Genomic DNA, 15,219 nt, shown 5'->3' with positions numbered 1-15,219 from the left:
GTATGGATCCTTCCGCAAACTGGGTTTCAAAGTTAGAGGAGAGAATAGTGCATGAGATGCTTACCCTGCCTCTTGGACTAAATAGAGTGACTGTTGTTTATCCTCTCTTGAGGTGCGACTCTGTATTGTGAGATGCAGCAAATATTGCATTACAAATTTGAGACATTGCTGTGAATTGTTAATGTTGTATCCATCCCATACTTGGTGACTCTGCAAGGGTCTTATTTGCTCCCCACTTCCTGAGGAGGTAGCTGTGTTGCAGTGATTTTGTCCATCCAACTTAGCACTAGCCTGCAAGGTCTCTTGTGACATGAATAATGTCCCGGATAATCCGAACCACTGCAAGGCCCCACAATCAGCAGAGCATTTGTGGTCTTGGGGCTGGGCCTGAGTTCCGCCTGGGACTTAACTATGTAAATAAATGCTAGAAATGAGATTCAGAGAGCTTAATACTGCATTGGAAGAAAGGCTGGAGCCAGCCTAAGCTCCAGACAAGCTTTCACTCAGAACTGCAATAAAATTTGACCATTTCAACTTTTATTTCTCATTATTTGTCAGAAACGTGAAATAGTTTACTAAGAAAAAAGAAAACAAAGGAAAAGAGATGAGAAAAGACTAGTCCATATCCTGTCTGAAATCCTGTTCAGAGGATTTGCTGCAAAGGCGTTCCAGCTTCAAATAAGACTGATTAAAATAAAATTACTCAGTCTCCTGACCCATAGCAAATTTCATGAGCTGCAATTTGTCTAGCAGTTGAGCTGTGAGTACAATCTGATTGGCTATAATTTAAGTTTATAGTTCCTACTTTTTTTTTTCTCAAACACAGTAGAATCCAGTGATCCTGAAATAAAGAATTAGAAGGGAAAATGGAGGATTTAGTATAAGCTAAGAAGAAATGGAAAGAAAAAAATTAAAAATATGATAATACTGTTTGCTTTTCTAAAAGCTTGAATTTGCAATATCTCTGGAGCTTTGCAAGAGAAAAATGTCTTCGCATTTGCATTTATGCATTCCATCCTAAACTACCTAGCTGTTTTTGTCTTGCTAGATTGCCCTCCTTTTTTTTTTCTTTCTATAGTGTTTGTTTTCCTTCTCTTTGTTTCCATCTCTGATCTCTAGGTCTGTAAGTCATGAGAGTTTCCTATAGTGAAAATGCTGAAGACCCACAGAACTAAGAATCTGCAACGTAACACCAAGGGAAACTGGCTCTTTCTTTCCAGGATCTGCCACTTTCATCTCTTTGCAGAATTATCAGAACTCTTAGTGACAATGTAGTATCTTTCAAAGCCTGGAAAAGTACATTAAGCCACTCTGGCTGGAGGAAATTGTGGTAAATGCCTTTTTTTTTTTTTTTTTTTTTTTTTGAGACGGAGTCTTGCTCTGTTGCCCAGGCTGGAGTACAGTGGCGCGATCTGGGCTCACTGCAAGCTCCGCCTCTCGGGTTTACGCCGTTCTCCTGCTGCTCAGCCTCCCGAGTAGCTGGAACTACAGGCACCCGCCACCACGCCCGGCTAATTTTTTTGTATTTTTAGTAGAGACATGGTTTCACCGTGTTAGCCAGGATGGTCTCCATCTCCTGACCTCGTAATCCACCTACCTCGGCCTCACAAAGTGCTGGGATTACAGGCGTGAGCCACCGCGCCCCGCAGGCAAATGCCTTTGACTTCTTGTTGTCATCCAAGATGTTGGAACATCCAGAAAGAGAAATCCATGCTAAAGCAAAGAGAAATATCAGCTAACACGTAATTGTTTAATTTTCTCTTTTCCAAGCAAAACCACAGACTTGACAAATAGAATGAGCCCTCTTTGGCCTTAGAACATCAGTCCTGCCGTTCTGTCTCTGAGATGAGTTAGAGTAAGGTATCTGGTACAGAAGTTAGAGCAGAGAGACAATTTGGAATATAGGTGGGTGTTTTGATTTCTCAGTAATGCATCACTGTGACTGCAGAGGAATTATACACAGTTTTAGCAACAGAATTTCCACAATTCTTTATAAGGTATGGAGACATTCTGACTCTTCTCTACTCTTCTCTTACCGGACCTTACTTCCTAGCAGTGTGGGCCCAAAAGGCTTCCTTAGTTGTAGTGGCTAACAGCAGATGGATGTGGGCACCAGCTCAGTTAGCTGACCTCCTCCGGATACTACAATGTGGTGAGTTCTTATAAGGGGGGAATTGGCAAGGCCTTCCTTGTGTCTCAGGTAGAGACATTTGTGACATTTCTTCTGACAAGTACAGGCTTTTAAAGAAACAGCTCCAGTTTTATTTTATCACCGTAGAAGTATATGATACATAGTAGATGCTCAGTTACAGTCTGTAGCAAGGTGAATAAGAAAGCAGAGGCTCTACTGTAGATTGTGTGTCTCTCAATAGGGAGAGTCCCAAATTGGTCGACATACTTTTCATTGCCAGGGAGACTTAACAGACACCAGACAGCCTGCTTCCAGGACTTCTTTAAACCATCTATTTTTAGGAAAACAAAGTCTTGAGCTAGTCTGCCAGAACAATGGAGTTAGGAATTTCTTCCTCTTCACCTTTGCTTTCTAAATTAAGAGTCTGGTTCTATGGAAAGAAAACAGACTTTGAGTTTACTGTGAGCTAGGTCTGAATATTGGCCGTACAAGTTGCATGTTAACTTGGACAAATTGCTTTGCATCTCTGAGGCTTAGTTTTCTTTTCTACAAAATGAGAATAATAAAATCTACCTTGCAAGAATGTTAGGAGGATTAAATAAAATGAGGTATCTAAAACTCTTGGTACCTAGTAGGATCTTAATAAGTAGCATGGTTATGTTAGAAACTTACATGAAGAACACTTGGCACTTTTCTGCAGAAATCCCTCTCCTAATTCACTTCTTCTCATATATTGCTTAAGGCCACCTTTTTTAAAAAAGGAGAAATTTTATTGAACTACCAACGCTTATTCCAAAATATACAATCATGAGAGAGTCTAAAATGAGAATCAACCATTCTTATGTGTTCAGGATTGCTGTAGAGTCCCAATAATTTAATATTCAGGGGAACACGGAAAATTGATTCCAACTGCAAGTCATTTAACTTTTTTATTATGAAAAGATTCAAACCTATGCACAGGTAGATAATGAACCCTGTGTACCCATAAGCCATCTTCAGGTAGTATGGAAACCCAAACCCTGGTAACCTCATAGGATATTGAATTTCCTTCTCAAGTTAGTAAAGATGACCTATGCCCATATGCTTGTTCTATAGTTGAGAAAACTGAAGTTCATAGAGATTGTGATGTGTTCACAGTCTATTTCAACCTGAAAGGGAAGTCCAGCCTACGGCCCAGATCTGATGCCCACTGCACGGCATTTTTCTATTCTAACATTCCCTAATGGATAAGGGTGGAGAGAAGTGCCAAGAGGAAAATAAATCTGCTAGTTTGGTTAGTATCTCTTTGACTTTCCTCTTATTGAAATAATTCAAATTAGTTAATGGATTCTACATAAACAACCTATTTTCTAGAAAATTTTTACTTTATGTAACCCAAAAGATAATCCAGATTTAAAAGCAGACAGTTTCATATTACTTACATGCAAAAATGCGAAGATGAGGTGATACCAGTTCCCCTAATTAGATGATAGTTTGAGGGGAAATTTTTCTCAGTAGTTGTTTTCTTTAGTCAACGGGAATGGTAATGTCAGGTAAAAGAATTCCCTACTCCAGATCCCTGTTCATTACAAGGAGATGGATAGCTTTGGGCGGGAATGCTCGTTTTAGAGTTTTTAAAACCCAAGCGTGTTTTGGGTGTTGGTAAGATTGGACACCAGAGGGTGCTAAAGAGCTGCATAATTTATTTCTGGGCCTTTGCCCACCAAGTTTTCTTTTATTTATTTATTTATTTATTTATTTTTTTATTATACTTTAAGTTTTAGGGTACATGTGCACATTGTGCAGGTTAGTTACATCTGTATACATGTGCCATGCTGGTGCGCTGCACCCACTAACTTGTCATCTAGCATTAGGTATATCTCCCAGTGCTATCCCTCCCCCCTCTCCCCTCCCCACCACAGTCCCCAGAGTGTGATATTCCCCTTCCTGTGTCCATGTGATCTCATTGTTCAATTCCCACCTATGAGTGAGAATATGCGGTGTTTGGTTTTTTGTTCTTGCGATAGTTTACTGAGAATGATGGTTTCCAATTTCATCCATGTCCCTACAAAGGACATGTACTCATCATTTTTTATGGCTGCATAGTATTCCATGGTGTATATGTGCCACATTTTCTTAATCCAGTCTATCATTGTTGGACATTTGGGTTGGTTCCAAGTCTCCTTGTGAATAATGCTGCAATAAACATACGTGTGCATGTGTCTTTATAGCAGCATGATTTATAGTCCTTTGGGTATATACCCAGTAATGGGATGGCTGGGTCAAATGGTATTTCTAGTTCTAGATCCCTGAGGAATCGCCACACTGACTTCCACAATGGTTGAACTAGTTTACAGTCCCACCAACAGTGTAAAAGTGTTCCTGTTTCTCCACATCCTCTCCAGCACCTGTTGTTTCCTGAATTTTTAATGATTGCCATTCTAACTGGTGTGAGATGATATCTCATAGTGGTTTTGATTTGCATTTCTCTGATGGCCAGTGATGATGAGCATTTTTTCATGTATTTTTTGGCTGCATAAATGTCTTCTTTTGAGAAGTGTCTGTTCATGTCCTTCGCCCACTTTTTGATGGGGTTGTTTGTTTTTTTCTTGTAAATTTGTTTGAGTTCATTGTAGATTCTGGATATTAGCCCTTTGTCAGATGAGTAGGTTACGAAAATTTTCTCCCATGTTGTAGGTTGCCTGCTCACTCTGATGGTAGTTTCTTTTGCTGTGCAGAAGCTCTTTAGTTTAATGAGATCCCATTTGTCAATTTTGGCTTTTGTTGCCATTGCTTTTGGTGTTTTGGACATGAAGTCCTTGCCCATGCCTATGTCCTGAATGGTAATGCCTAGGTTTTCTTCTAGGGTTTTTATGGTTTTAGGTCTAACGTTTAAATCTTTAATCCATCTTGAATTGATTTTTGTATAAGGTGTAAGGAAGGGATCCAGTTTCAGCTTTCTACATATGGCTAGCCAGTTTTCCCAGCACCATTTATTAAATAGGGAATCCTTTCCCCATTGCTTGTTTTTGTCAGGTTTGTCAAAGATCAGATAGTTGTAGGTATGCGGCATTATTTCTGAGGGCTCTGTTCTGTTCCATTGATCTATATCTCTGTTTTGGTACCAGTACCATGCTGTTTTGGTTACTGTAGCCTTGTAGTATAGTTTGAAGTCAGGTAGTGTGATGCCTCCAGCTTTGTTCTTTTGGCTTAGGATTGACTTGGCGATGCGGGCTCTTTTTTGGTTCCATATGAACTTTAAAGTAGTTTTTTCCAATTCTGTGAAGAAAATCATTGGTAGCTTGATGGGGATGGCATTGAATCTGTAAATTACTTTGGGCAGTATGGCCATTTTCACGATATTGATTCTTCCTACCCATGAGCATGGAATGTTCTTCCATTTGTTTGTATCCTCTTTTATTTCCTTGAGCAGTGGTTTGTAGTTCTCCTTGAAGAGGTCCTTCACATCCCTTGTAAGTTGGATTCCTAGGTATTTTATTCTGTTTGAAGCAATTGTGAATGGGAGTTCACTCATGATTTGGCTCTCTGTTTGTCTGTTGTTGGTGTATAAGAATGCTTGTGATTTTTGTACATTGATTTTGTATCCTGAGACTTTGCTGAAGTTGCTTATCAGCTTAAGGAGATTTTGGGCTGAGACGATGGGGTTTTCTAGATAAACAATCATGTCGTCTGCAAACAGGGACAATTTGACTTCCTCTTTTCCTAATTGAATACCCTTTATTTCCTTCTCCTGCCTGATTGCCCTGGCCAGAACTTCCAACACTATGTTGAATAGGAGCGGTGAGAGAGGGCATCCCTGTCTTGTGCCAGTTTTCAGAGGGAATGCTTCCAGTTTTTGCCCATTCAGTATGATATTGGCTGTGGGTTTGTCATAGATAGCTCTTATTATTTTGAAATACGTCCCATCAATACCTAATTTATTGAGAGTTTTTAGCATGAAGGGTTGTTGAATTTTGTCAAAGGCTTTTTCTGCATCTATTGAGATAATCATGTGGTTTTTGTCTTTGGCTCTGTTTATATGCTGGATTACATTTATTGATTTGCGTATATTGAACCTGCCTTGCATCCCAGGGATGAAGCCCACTTGATCATGGTGGATAAGCTTTTTGATGTGCTGCTGGATTCAGTTTGCCAGTATTTTATTGAGGATTTTTGCATCAATGTTCATCAAGGATATTGGTCTAAAATTCTCTTTTTTGGTTGTGTCTCTGCCCGGCTTTGGTATCAGAATGATGCTGGCCTCAGAAAATGAGTTAGGGAGGATTCCCTCTTTTTCTATTGATTGGAATAGTTTCAGAAGGAATGGTACCAGTTACTCCTTGTACCTCTGGTAGAATTCGGCTGTGAATCCATCTGGTCCTGGACTCTTTTTGGTTGGTAAACTATTGATTATTGCCACAATTTCAGCTCCTGTTATTGGTCTATTCAGAGATTCAACTTCTTCCTGGTTTAGTCTTGGGAGAGTGTATGTGTCGAGGAATGTATCCATTTCTTCTAGATTTTCTAGTTTATTTGCGTAGAGGTGTTTGTAGTATTCTTTGATGGTAGTTTGTATGTCTGTGGGATCGGTGGTGATATCCCCTTTATCGTTTTTTATTGTGTCAATTTGATTCTTCTCTCTTTTTCTTTATTAGTCTTGCTAGCGGTCTATCAATTTTGTTGATCCTTTCAAAAAACCAGCTCCTGGATTCATTGATTTTTTGAAGGGTTTTTTGTGTCTCTATTTCCTTCAGTTCTGCTCTGATTTTAGTTATTTCTTGCCTTCTGCTAGCTTTTCAATGTGTTTGCTCTTGCTTTTCTAGTTCTTTTAATTGTGATGTTAGGGTGTCAATTTTGGATCTTTCCTGCTTTCTCTTGTGGGCATTTAGTTCTATAAATTTCCCTCTACACACTGCTTTGAATGCGTCCCAGAGATTCTGGTATGTTGTCTTTGTTCTCGTTGGTTTCAAAGAACATCTTTATTTCTGCCTTCATTTCGTTATGTACCCAGTAGTCATTCAGGAGCAGGTTGTTCAGTTTCCATGTAGTTGAGCGGTTTTGAGTGAGTTTCTTAATCCTGAGTTCTAGTTTGATTGCACTGTGGTCTGAGAGATAGTTTGTTATAATTTCTGTTCTTTTACATTTGCTGAGGAGAGCTTTACTTCCAACTATGTGGTCAGTTTTGGAATAGGTGTGGTGTGGTGCTGAAAAAAATATATATTCTGTTGATTTGGGGTGGAGAGTTCTGTAGATGTCTATTAGGTCCGCTTGGTGCAGAGCTGAGTTCAATTCCTGGGTATTCTTGTTGACTTTCTGTCTCGTTGATCTGTCTAATGTTGACAGTGGGGTGTTAAAGTCTCCCATTATTAATGTGTGGGAGTCTAAGTCTCTTTGTAGGTCACTCAGGACTTGCTTTATGAATCTGGGTGCTCCTGTATTGGGTGCATATATATTTAGGATAGTTAGCTCTTCTTGTTGAATTGATCCCTTTACCATTATGTAATGGCCTTCTTTGTCTCTTTTGATCTTTTTTGGTTTAAAGTCTGTTTTATCAGAGACTAGGATTGCAACCCCTGCCTTTTTTTGTTTTCCATTTGCTTGGTAGATCTTCCTCCATCCTTTTATTTTGAGCCTATGTGTGTCTCTGCATGTGAGATGGGTTTCCTGAATACAGCACACTGATGGGTCTTGACTCTTTATCCAACTTGCCAGTCTGTGTCTTTTAATTGGAGAATTTAGTCCATTGACATTTAAAGTTAATATTGTTATATGTGAATTTGATCCTGTCATTATGATGTTAGCTGGTTATTTTGCTCGTTAGTTGATGCAGTTTCTTCCTAGTCTCGATGGTCTTTACATTTTGGCATGATTTTGCCGCGGCTGGTACCGGTTGTTCCTTTCCATGTTTAGCGCTTCCTTCAGGAGCTCTTTTAGGGCAGGCCTGGTGGTGACAAAATCGGTCAGCATTTGCTTGTCTGTAAAGTATTTTATTTCTCCTTCACTTATGAAGCTTAGTTTGGCTGGATATGAAATTCTGGGTTGAAAATTCTTTTCTTTAAGAATGTTGAATATTGGCCCCCACTCTCTTCTGGCTTGTAGGGTTTCTGCCGAGAGATCCGCTGTTAGTCTGATGGGCTTCCCTTTGAGGGTAACCCTACCTTTCTCTCTGGCTGCCCTTAACATTTTTTCCTTCATTTCAACTTTGGTGAATCTGACAATTATGTGTCTTGGAGTTGCTCTTCTTGAGGAGTATCTTTGTGGCGTTCTCTGTATTTCCTGAATCTGAACGTTGGCCTGCCTTGCTAGATTGGGGAAGTTCTCCTGGATAATATCCTGCAGAGTGTTTTCCAACTTGGTTCCATTCTCTGCATCACTTTCAGGTACACCAATCAGACGTAGATTTGGTCTTTTCACATAGTCCCATATTTCTTGGAGGCTTTGCTCATTTCTTTTTATTCTTTTTTCTCTAAACTTCCCTTCTCGCTTCATTTCATTCATTTCATCTTCCATTGCTGATACCCTTTCTTCCAGTTGATCGCATCGGCTCCTGAGGCTTCTGCATTCTTCACGTAGTTCTCGAGCCTTGGTTTTCAGCTCCATCAGCTCCTTTAAGCACTTCTCTGTATTGGTTATTCTAGTTATACATTCTTCTAAATTTTTTTCAAAGTTTTCAACTTCTTTGCCTTTGGTTTGAATGTCCTCCCGTAGCTCAGAGTAATTTGATCGTCTGAAACCTTCTTCTCTCAGCTCGTCAAAGTCATTCTCCATCCAGCTTTGTTCCGTTGCTGGTGAGGAACTGCATTCCTTTGAAGGAGGAGAGGCGCTCTGCGTTTTAGAGTTTCCAGTTTTTCTGTTCTGTTTTCTCCCCATCTTTGTGGTTTTATCTACTTTTGGTCTTTGATGATGGTGATGTACAGATGGGTTTTCGGTGTGGATGTCCTTTCTGTTTGTTAGTTTTCCTTCTAACAGACAGGACCCTCAGCTGCAGGTCTGTTGGAATACCCTGCCGTGTGAGGTGTCAGTGTGCCCCTGCTGGGGGGTGCCTCCCAGTTAGGCTGCTCAGGGGTCAGGGGTCAGGGACCCATTTGAGGAGGCAGTCTGCCCGTTATCAGATCTCCAGCTGCGTGCTGGGAGAACCACTGCTCTCTTCAAAGCTGTCAGACAGGGACATTTAAGTCTGCAGAGGTTACTGCTGTCTTTTTGTTTGTCTGTGCCCTGCCCCCAGAGGTGGAGCCTACAGAGGCAGGCAGGCCTCCTTGAGCTGTGGTGGGCTCCACCCAGTTCGAGCTTCCTGGCTGCTTTGTTGACCTAAGCAAGCCTGGGCAATGGCGGGCGCCCCTCCCCCAGCCTGGCTGCCGCCTTGCAGTTTGATCTCAGACTGCTGTGGTAGCAATCAGCGAGACTCCGTTGGCGTAGGACCCTCCGAGCCAGGTGTGGGATATAGTCTCGTGGTGCGCCGTTTTTTAAGCCGGTCTGAAAAGCGCAATATTCGGGTGGGAGTGACCCGATTTTCCAGGTGCCGTCCGTCACCCCTTTCTTTGACTCGGAAAGGGAACTCCCTGACCCCTTGCGCTTCCCAGGTGAAGCAATGCCTCACCCTGCTTCGGCTCGCGCACGTTGCGCACACCCACTGGCCTGTGCCCACTGTCTGGCACTCCCTAGTGAGATGAACCCGGTACCTCAGATGGAAATGCAGAAATCACCCGTCTTCTGCGTTGCTCACGCTGGGAGCTGTAGACCGGAGCTGTTCCTATTCGGCCATCTTGGCTCCTCCTCGCCCACCAAGTTTTCTATGGTAATGGGGTCGTCTGGTGTTGAGAGAAGAGGTTGGGTATATTTGGTGTGAGGGGGTGTGTTCCCTGGCTCAAGGCTTTGTTGGTGGTGTACACCCACCTGGAGCCACAGGCCACATTAATGGACCGCAGTTGGGCCATGCTCTTGTTGCTGCTGACTTCACTGTTGGTTTGGTCAATCCCATTGATTGTAAGAGTCAACTGTTAAAAATAGAATCAATGGTGCTACCACCAGCTCACTAGCCATTTACAGGCAGTCATAAATACTGAAAATGACTGCCCAGAGGCTGAGCTTCCAGGCTTCTTTTAGCTTTACTTTGAATTTGCTGCTTCTCGCTACATCAGCAGAAGAGAGTACTTGAAAGAGCTGAAAACAGCCCAAGCTGCTTAAGTCTCTCAAGAAAGGAATTATTAATTAAACGTCAACTCCTGTGCATTAAGCTTCTTTTGAAAACCTTTCCTAAATTCATGAGATTTCAGGTTTGGTGCTTTTGACCTGCTCCGCATTCCCGGTACCCACCCTTCTGCTTCTCAAGGACAGATGACCCCCTTTTTACCTATGAGATCAGGTCCATCTTCTCACTTGAATGTAATTACTGAATGTTTACAATGGTGCTCAGCACCACAGAGAGTGCAAATAATAACATATTCTGACCTCAAGGACCTAACAATGACGTAAACATAGGAAAACATGCACTGAGCAATAAAGACTCTTTTACAAGCTGCTGGTTTGGTTGGTGTCACAATGTGACACAAAACTTAGTCTATCTTTTTATTACTTGTTAAGTCGAATATGAAATAATAGTTTACAGTTTCTTCAAATAATAGAAATATTTATTTAATCTTTTCATTATATTTTGTCCATTTATCTTACCCTTTTTGCAACAGATTTATTTTCTTTTCCTCTTTCTATAGGAGCATGAATAAATATGTTTCCCTTGGACATGTCTGTTTGCTCCTGGACAATACCATGGTGTTCAAATTATTGTGGCATTACCATATGCTTATAAATAGCAAACATTTCACAAGAGATGCATATTTTGCAAAGTTTTGAAAGAAATAACCAATTTTAAAAAACTTAGGAGGCCAAATTTTTACAAATTACTCTAATAAATTTCTAAATTTTCTCTGTGGTTGAGTGTTTTTTTTTTTTTTTTTTTTTTTTTTTTTTTGAGAGAGAGTCTCACTCTGTCACCCAGGCTAGAGTGCAGTGGCGCGATCTCGACTCACTGCAAGCTCCACCTCCCAGGTTCATGCCATTCTCCTGCCTCAGCCTCCCGAGTAGCTGGGACTACAGGTGCCCCCCCCACCACGCCCAGCTAATTTTTTGTATTTTTAGTAGAGACGGGGTTTCACCGTGTTAGCCAGGATGGTCTCAATCTCCTGACCTTGTGATCCACCCGCCTCGGCCTCCCAGAGTGCTGGGATTACAGGTGTGAGCCACTGTGCCCAGCAGTATGGTTGAGTTTTATTTTTTCATTTAAAAAATCAATTTTGATGTCAATTTTGTCATTTCCATTTTCCTAGTACATTATCATAGTTATTCATATTTCCAACATAATTTTCATAGGATTTGATGAATTTCTTTCTTTTGACTAGTTTAATTAATTAAATCTATGCTGTCTTTCTTTTTGATAATTCTTACATTTATGTACTATTAGGTTTTAACACTTATTGTTGGACAAATTGGAAATTTCTGTATTTTTTTTCTCTATGCAAAGAACCTCTTTCCGGTTAATTTATGTATCAACTTTAATTTTCAAAAATTTATAATTAGTGCTAGCACTTCTATTAAACTTATTAGTTTTTTTGTTTAGCAATAATTGCACTTTTATGAAATTCTATAGTTTATTTCAAGAGCTTTATTGAGGCATAATTGACTATTTATATTTAAAGTATACAGTAAGGCATTTGACATGTTGTGACATAAGTATAAACCTGTGAAGCCATTACCACAGTCAAAATAATAAACATATCTATCCTTTCAAAAACTGCCCTTATGCTTCTATATCCCATTGCATTTCTTTCCTTCTGCTTTTCCCCATACTCTATTGTTTATCTCTAGGTAATCACTGATCCACTCTCTGTCACTTTACATGTCCTAGAACTTCATGTAAGTAGATCATACAGTATGTTCCTCTTTTTGCTTTTTTTCACTCAGTATAATTATTTTGAGATTCATCTATGTTGTGGCATGTATCAGTTATTTATTTCTTATTATTACTGAATAGTATCCTAATGTATGTATATATTGCAGTTTGTTTATCTATCCATTCATCTGTTGAGGGACATTTATGTTGTTTCTAGTTTGGATTGTTACAAATAAAGATGCTATGAGCATTCATGTACCCATTATAGACACAAGCTTTCATTTTTCTTGGGTAATTACTTAGAAATAAAATGGCTGAATAATATGTTAAATAATTTTTTTTAACTTTTTAAGAAATTGCCAAAGTTCCAAATGATTGAATTACTAAAAATCACCTCAACAGTGTTCAAGAGTTTCAGTTCCTCCATATATTCAACAACACTTTGTATGCTCATTTTTTTAAACTTTGGCTATTTTAATAAGTGAATAGTATTTCACTGTGGCTTCCATTTGCATGAAATTCTACATTTTTATGTGCCCTAGATATTCTGTGATTTTTTGAGATAATAATTATTAAAGAAAATGAAAAATTCCTAAAGTTAGATGTTTATTCATTCTTATTAGATTATAATTGTCATGTAATATGCTAAGACTATAATTTGCAATATTATTAATGGGGATGATAATGGTATTTACTTCAGCTGACATGATAGAGTCATGAACCTAAATATGATAATTATATAAATCACTTAGCACAGTGCTAGAAACATAGAATCACATAAGAATGGTTTCTGTAATTGCTATACTTATGGAATACTCTTAAGGGTAAATCTATCTTGCTTATAATGGGGCATTGAAGAGAAAGAACTGAATAATGTGAGAGGAACCCTAAATTGCCAATCTTGAGATTGGTTATTCTATATTTATTTGTTGATAGATAACCCCAGAATATGTCTCAACAAGACTCTCAACACTATTCCCATTCTCTTGAAAGATTAGCTTCAGTGTTACACGAAGAACCATCTGCCTTCAAGCATCCTAGAGTCCTTGGATTCCATATTTAAATTTCATTTAGAATGGTAAAAGAGTCATAAAATAATACTTGCATAAAGGTAATGACAAAAATTGATATGCAAAGTATCACTTGTTGAGTGTTAAAATATCCAAAACTGAAAACCATAAACCTGTTCATTTAAAAATTACAACTGCTCATTCATTTTGTTATTTGTATTTTTCCAACAGCCAGGACTCCTCAGCATACATATATAAGAGATGATAAGTATCTAAGGAGAGTAATTATTATCTAATAAAATCACAAATTTTGATAACACAAGTAACCGATTTTTAGACAATTGGGCCATTAAGAAATGGTAGAGATAGCAGTAGAAATAACTATTGCTCAGTCAGCATCAGTGAGGAATCTATAAATCTTGATGGGGTTAAAAAACTCTATTTTTTGTAATCCCAGCACTTTGGGAGGCTGAGGGGGGGGTGGATCATGAGGTCAGGAGATCGAGACCATCCTGGCTAACATGGTGAAACCCCGTCTCTACTAAAAATACAAAAAATTAGCCTGTAGTCCCAGCTAGTCAGGAGGCTGAGGCAGGAGAATGGCGTGAACCCGGGAGGTGAAGCTTGCAGTGAGCTAAGATCACGCCACTGCACTCTAGCCTGGGCGACAGAGTGAGACTCAGTCTAAAAAAACGAACAAACAAACCAACAAAAAAACCCCTCTATTTTTTTAATGACAACCTAGACTACTTATGAGTACCCGAGAGTTAATCATTATATCCACTTAGGAGGCCTTGCCCAAGTCAGACAGAAATTCTAGGCCTCAGTTTCCTCATTATTAAAATGTTGATGTACTTACATGGTGTCTACATACCCTTAAAGCTCTTATAGTTTATGATTGTGTGGGCTTATGAGCCCTCCTTTTAGATAAGAGTTGAAAAAAGTTCATGACTTGGATAGAATTACTTATTCCTACAATTTGGAATAGTGGCCAGGAAGTGTAGTCCTTTAGAGGGAAATCTATAAAGAAATCCTGGAAGAATTGGGTCATTTAGCCTTGAGAAAATACTCAGGGAAGGTTTCTTAGGATCTCCTGAGGCATTTTCTCAGGATCTAAGCCAGAAGTCTTTGCTGCTTCCTGTTTAGGCCATCTATAAAGGAAGTCATTAATATAGCCTGGTGACAGCTTTCTTTCTGCCTTACTGAGGCTGCCAAATGTTTGTGGAATACACTTTCCCGTATGTTTCCCTGGATCTGGGAGACAGGAGGTGTAAGTTCGTGAATCACTGAATATGAGGATTCTTACTGAACAAAAAGAAGGAACCCTTTTGACTAAACCCAGAAGAGCCTGGGCCAATAAACAAAACCTTAATTAATGTAGAAAAATATGTCTCTACTTTTGAATATGTGCATCGGAGTCTTTGTTCAGTTAGACAGTGGATTATACCACTGAGATCTGGACTGCCCTGATGTTACACACACACGCGCACATACAACTACTATTATTGTAGTAACAACTCTTCTCATAGTGAACACCTTGATGCATTTAACCATCCCCCTCAGAATATTTATTCCTTTATCCATTTCACAAATGTCCTTTCAGAGCATACTATATAGCCCACACTAGCCTAAGCACCTAGGATATTGGCAAGCAAAAAACACATGTTAATTGTACTCTTAAAGCTTATGTGCAGGAAAGGTAATGACTAAACTTTTGCACAATTTAATGTAAAATTATTATAAAAATGTTGTAAATGTAAATGGAATGGTGCTACAAGTGTCTAATAGAGGGAACCACCCTAGGGATACAAAACTTCATGAAGTAATGTTTGCAGTGTGTTCTGAAGGCTAAGCAGAAGTTACGGTGAAACAGAAAGGAGACTATTCCAAGCAGATGGAACAAGATGTTCTAGGATCCTGCAATAAGAGGGTGATTTAATTAACCCAGTGTGTGTGGCAGACATTAGATGCTAGCCAGTACCCATTCATTCACTCATTCCAAGTGTCCACCATGTGCTTAAATGTAGGCACTGTAGTCTGTGCTGGGAACAGGGTGATGAAAATGAAAGACTGGGTTTGCGACATCATGAAAATTTTAATCTAGGAAAAACATACCTATTAAATTAAGTCAAATGGAAAATAGGTTAAGTTATAATTATGAGAAATCTCAAAATGAATATTACAGAATACCCTGATGTGGGCATGTGGCACAGTTG

At 39.4% G+C, this 15,219-nt stretch overlaps 1 long non-coding RNA gene across 1 annotated transcript in view, besides 2 other annotated features; it reads left to right on the top strand.

The window, feature by feature from the left end:
* Window positions 1-15,219, top strand: part of MIR924HG (MIR924 host gene) — a 545,072-nt gene that overhangs the window by 176,517 nt on the left and 353,336 nt on the right. The gene's annotated exons all lie outside the window — the stretch shown is intronic.
* Window positions 9,011-9,640: an enhancer, noted in NCBI's record as "NANOG-H3K27ac-H3K4me1 hESC enhancer chr18:37145803-37146432 (GRCh37/hg19 assembly coordinates)". NCBI's record gives its function as "activates a minimal SCP1, AML or CMV promoter by ChIP-STARR-seq in naive H9 embryonic stem cells {active_cell/tissue: H9 hESC(naive)}" and the evidence as "EXISTENCE:reporter gene assay evidence [ECO:0000049][PMID:30033119]".
* Window positions 9,641-10,271: an enhancer, noted in NCBI's record as "H3K27ac-H3K4me1 hESC enhancer chr18:37145172-37145802 (GRCh37/hg19 assembly coordinates)". NCBI's record gives its function as "activates a minimal SCP1, AML or CMV promoter by ChIP-STARR-seq in naive H9 embryonic stem cells {active_cell/tissue: H9 hESC(naive)}" and the evidence as "EXISTENCE:reporter gene assay evidence [ECO:0000049][PMID:30033119]".

Source organism: Homo sapiens, chromosome 18 (genome assembly GCF_000001405.40).
Source record: "Homo sapiens chromosome 18, GRCh38.p14 Primary Assembly".
Classification (NCBI taxonomy): domain Eukaryota; kingdom Metazoa; phylum Chordata; class Mammalia; order Primates; family Hominidae; genus Homo; species Homo sapiens.
The sequence above is the reverse complement of the archived record's forward strand: the minus strand, read 5'-3'. Positions and strand labels throughout refer to the sequence as shown.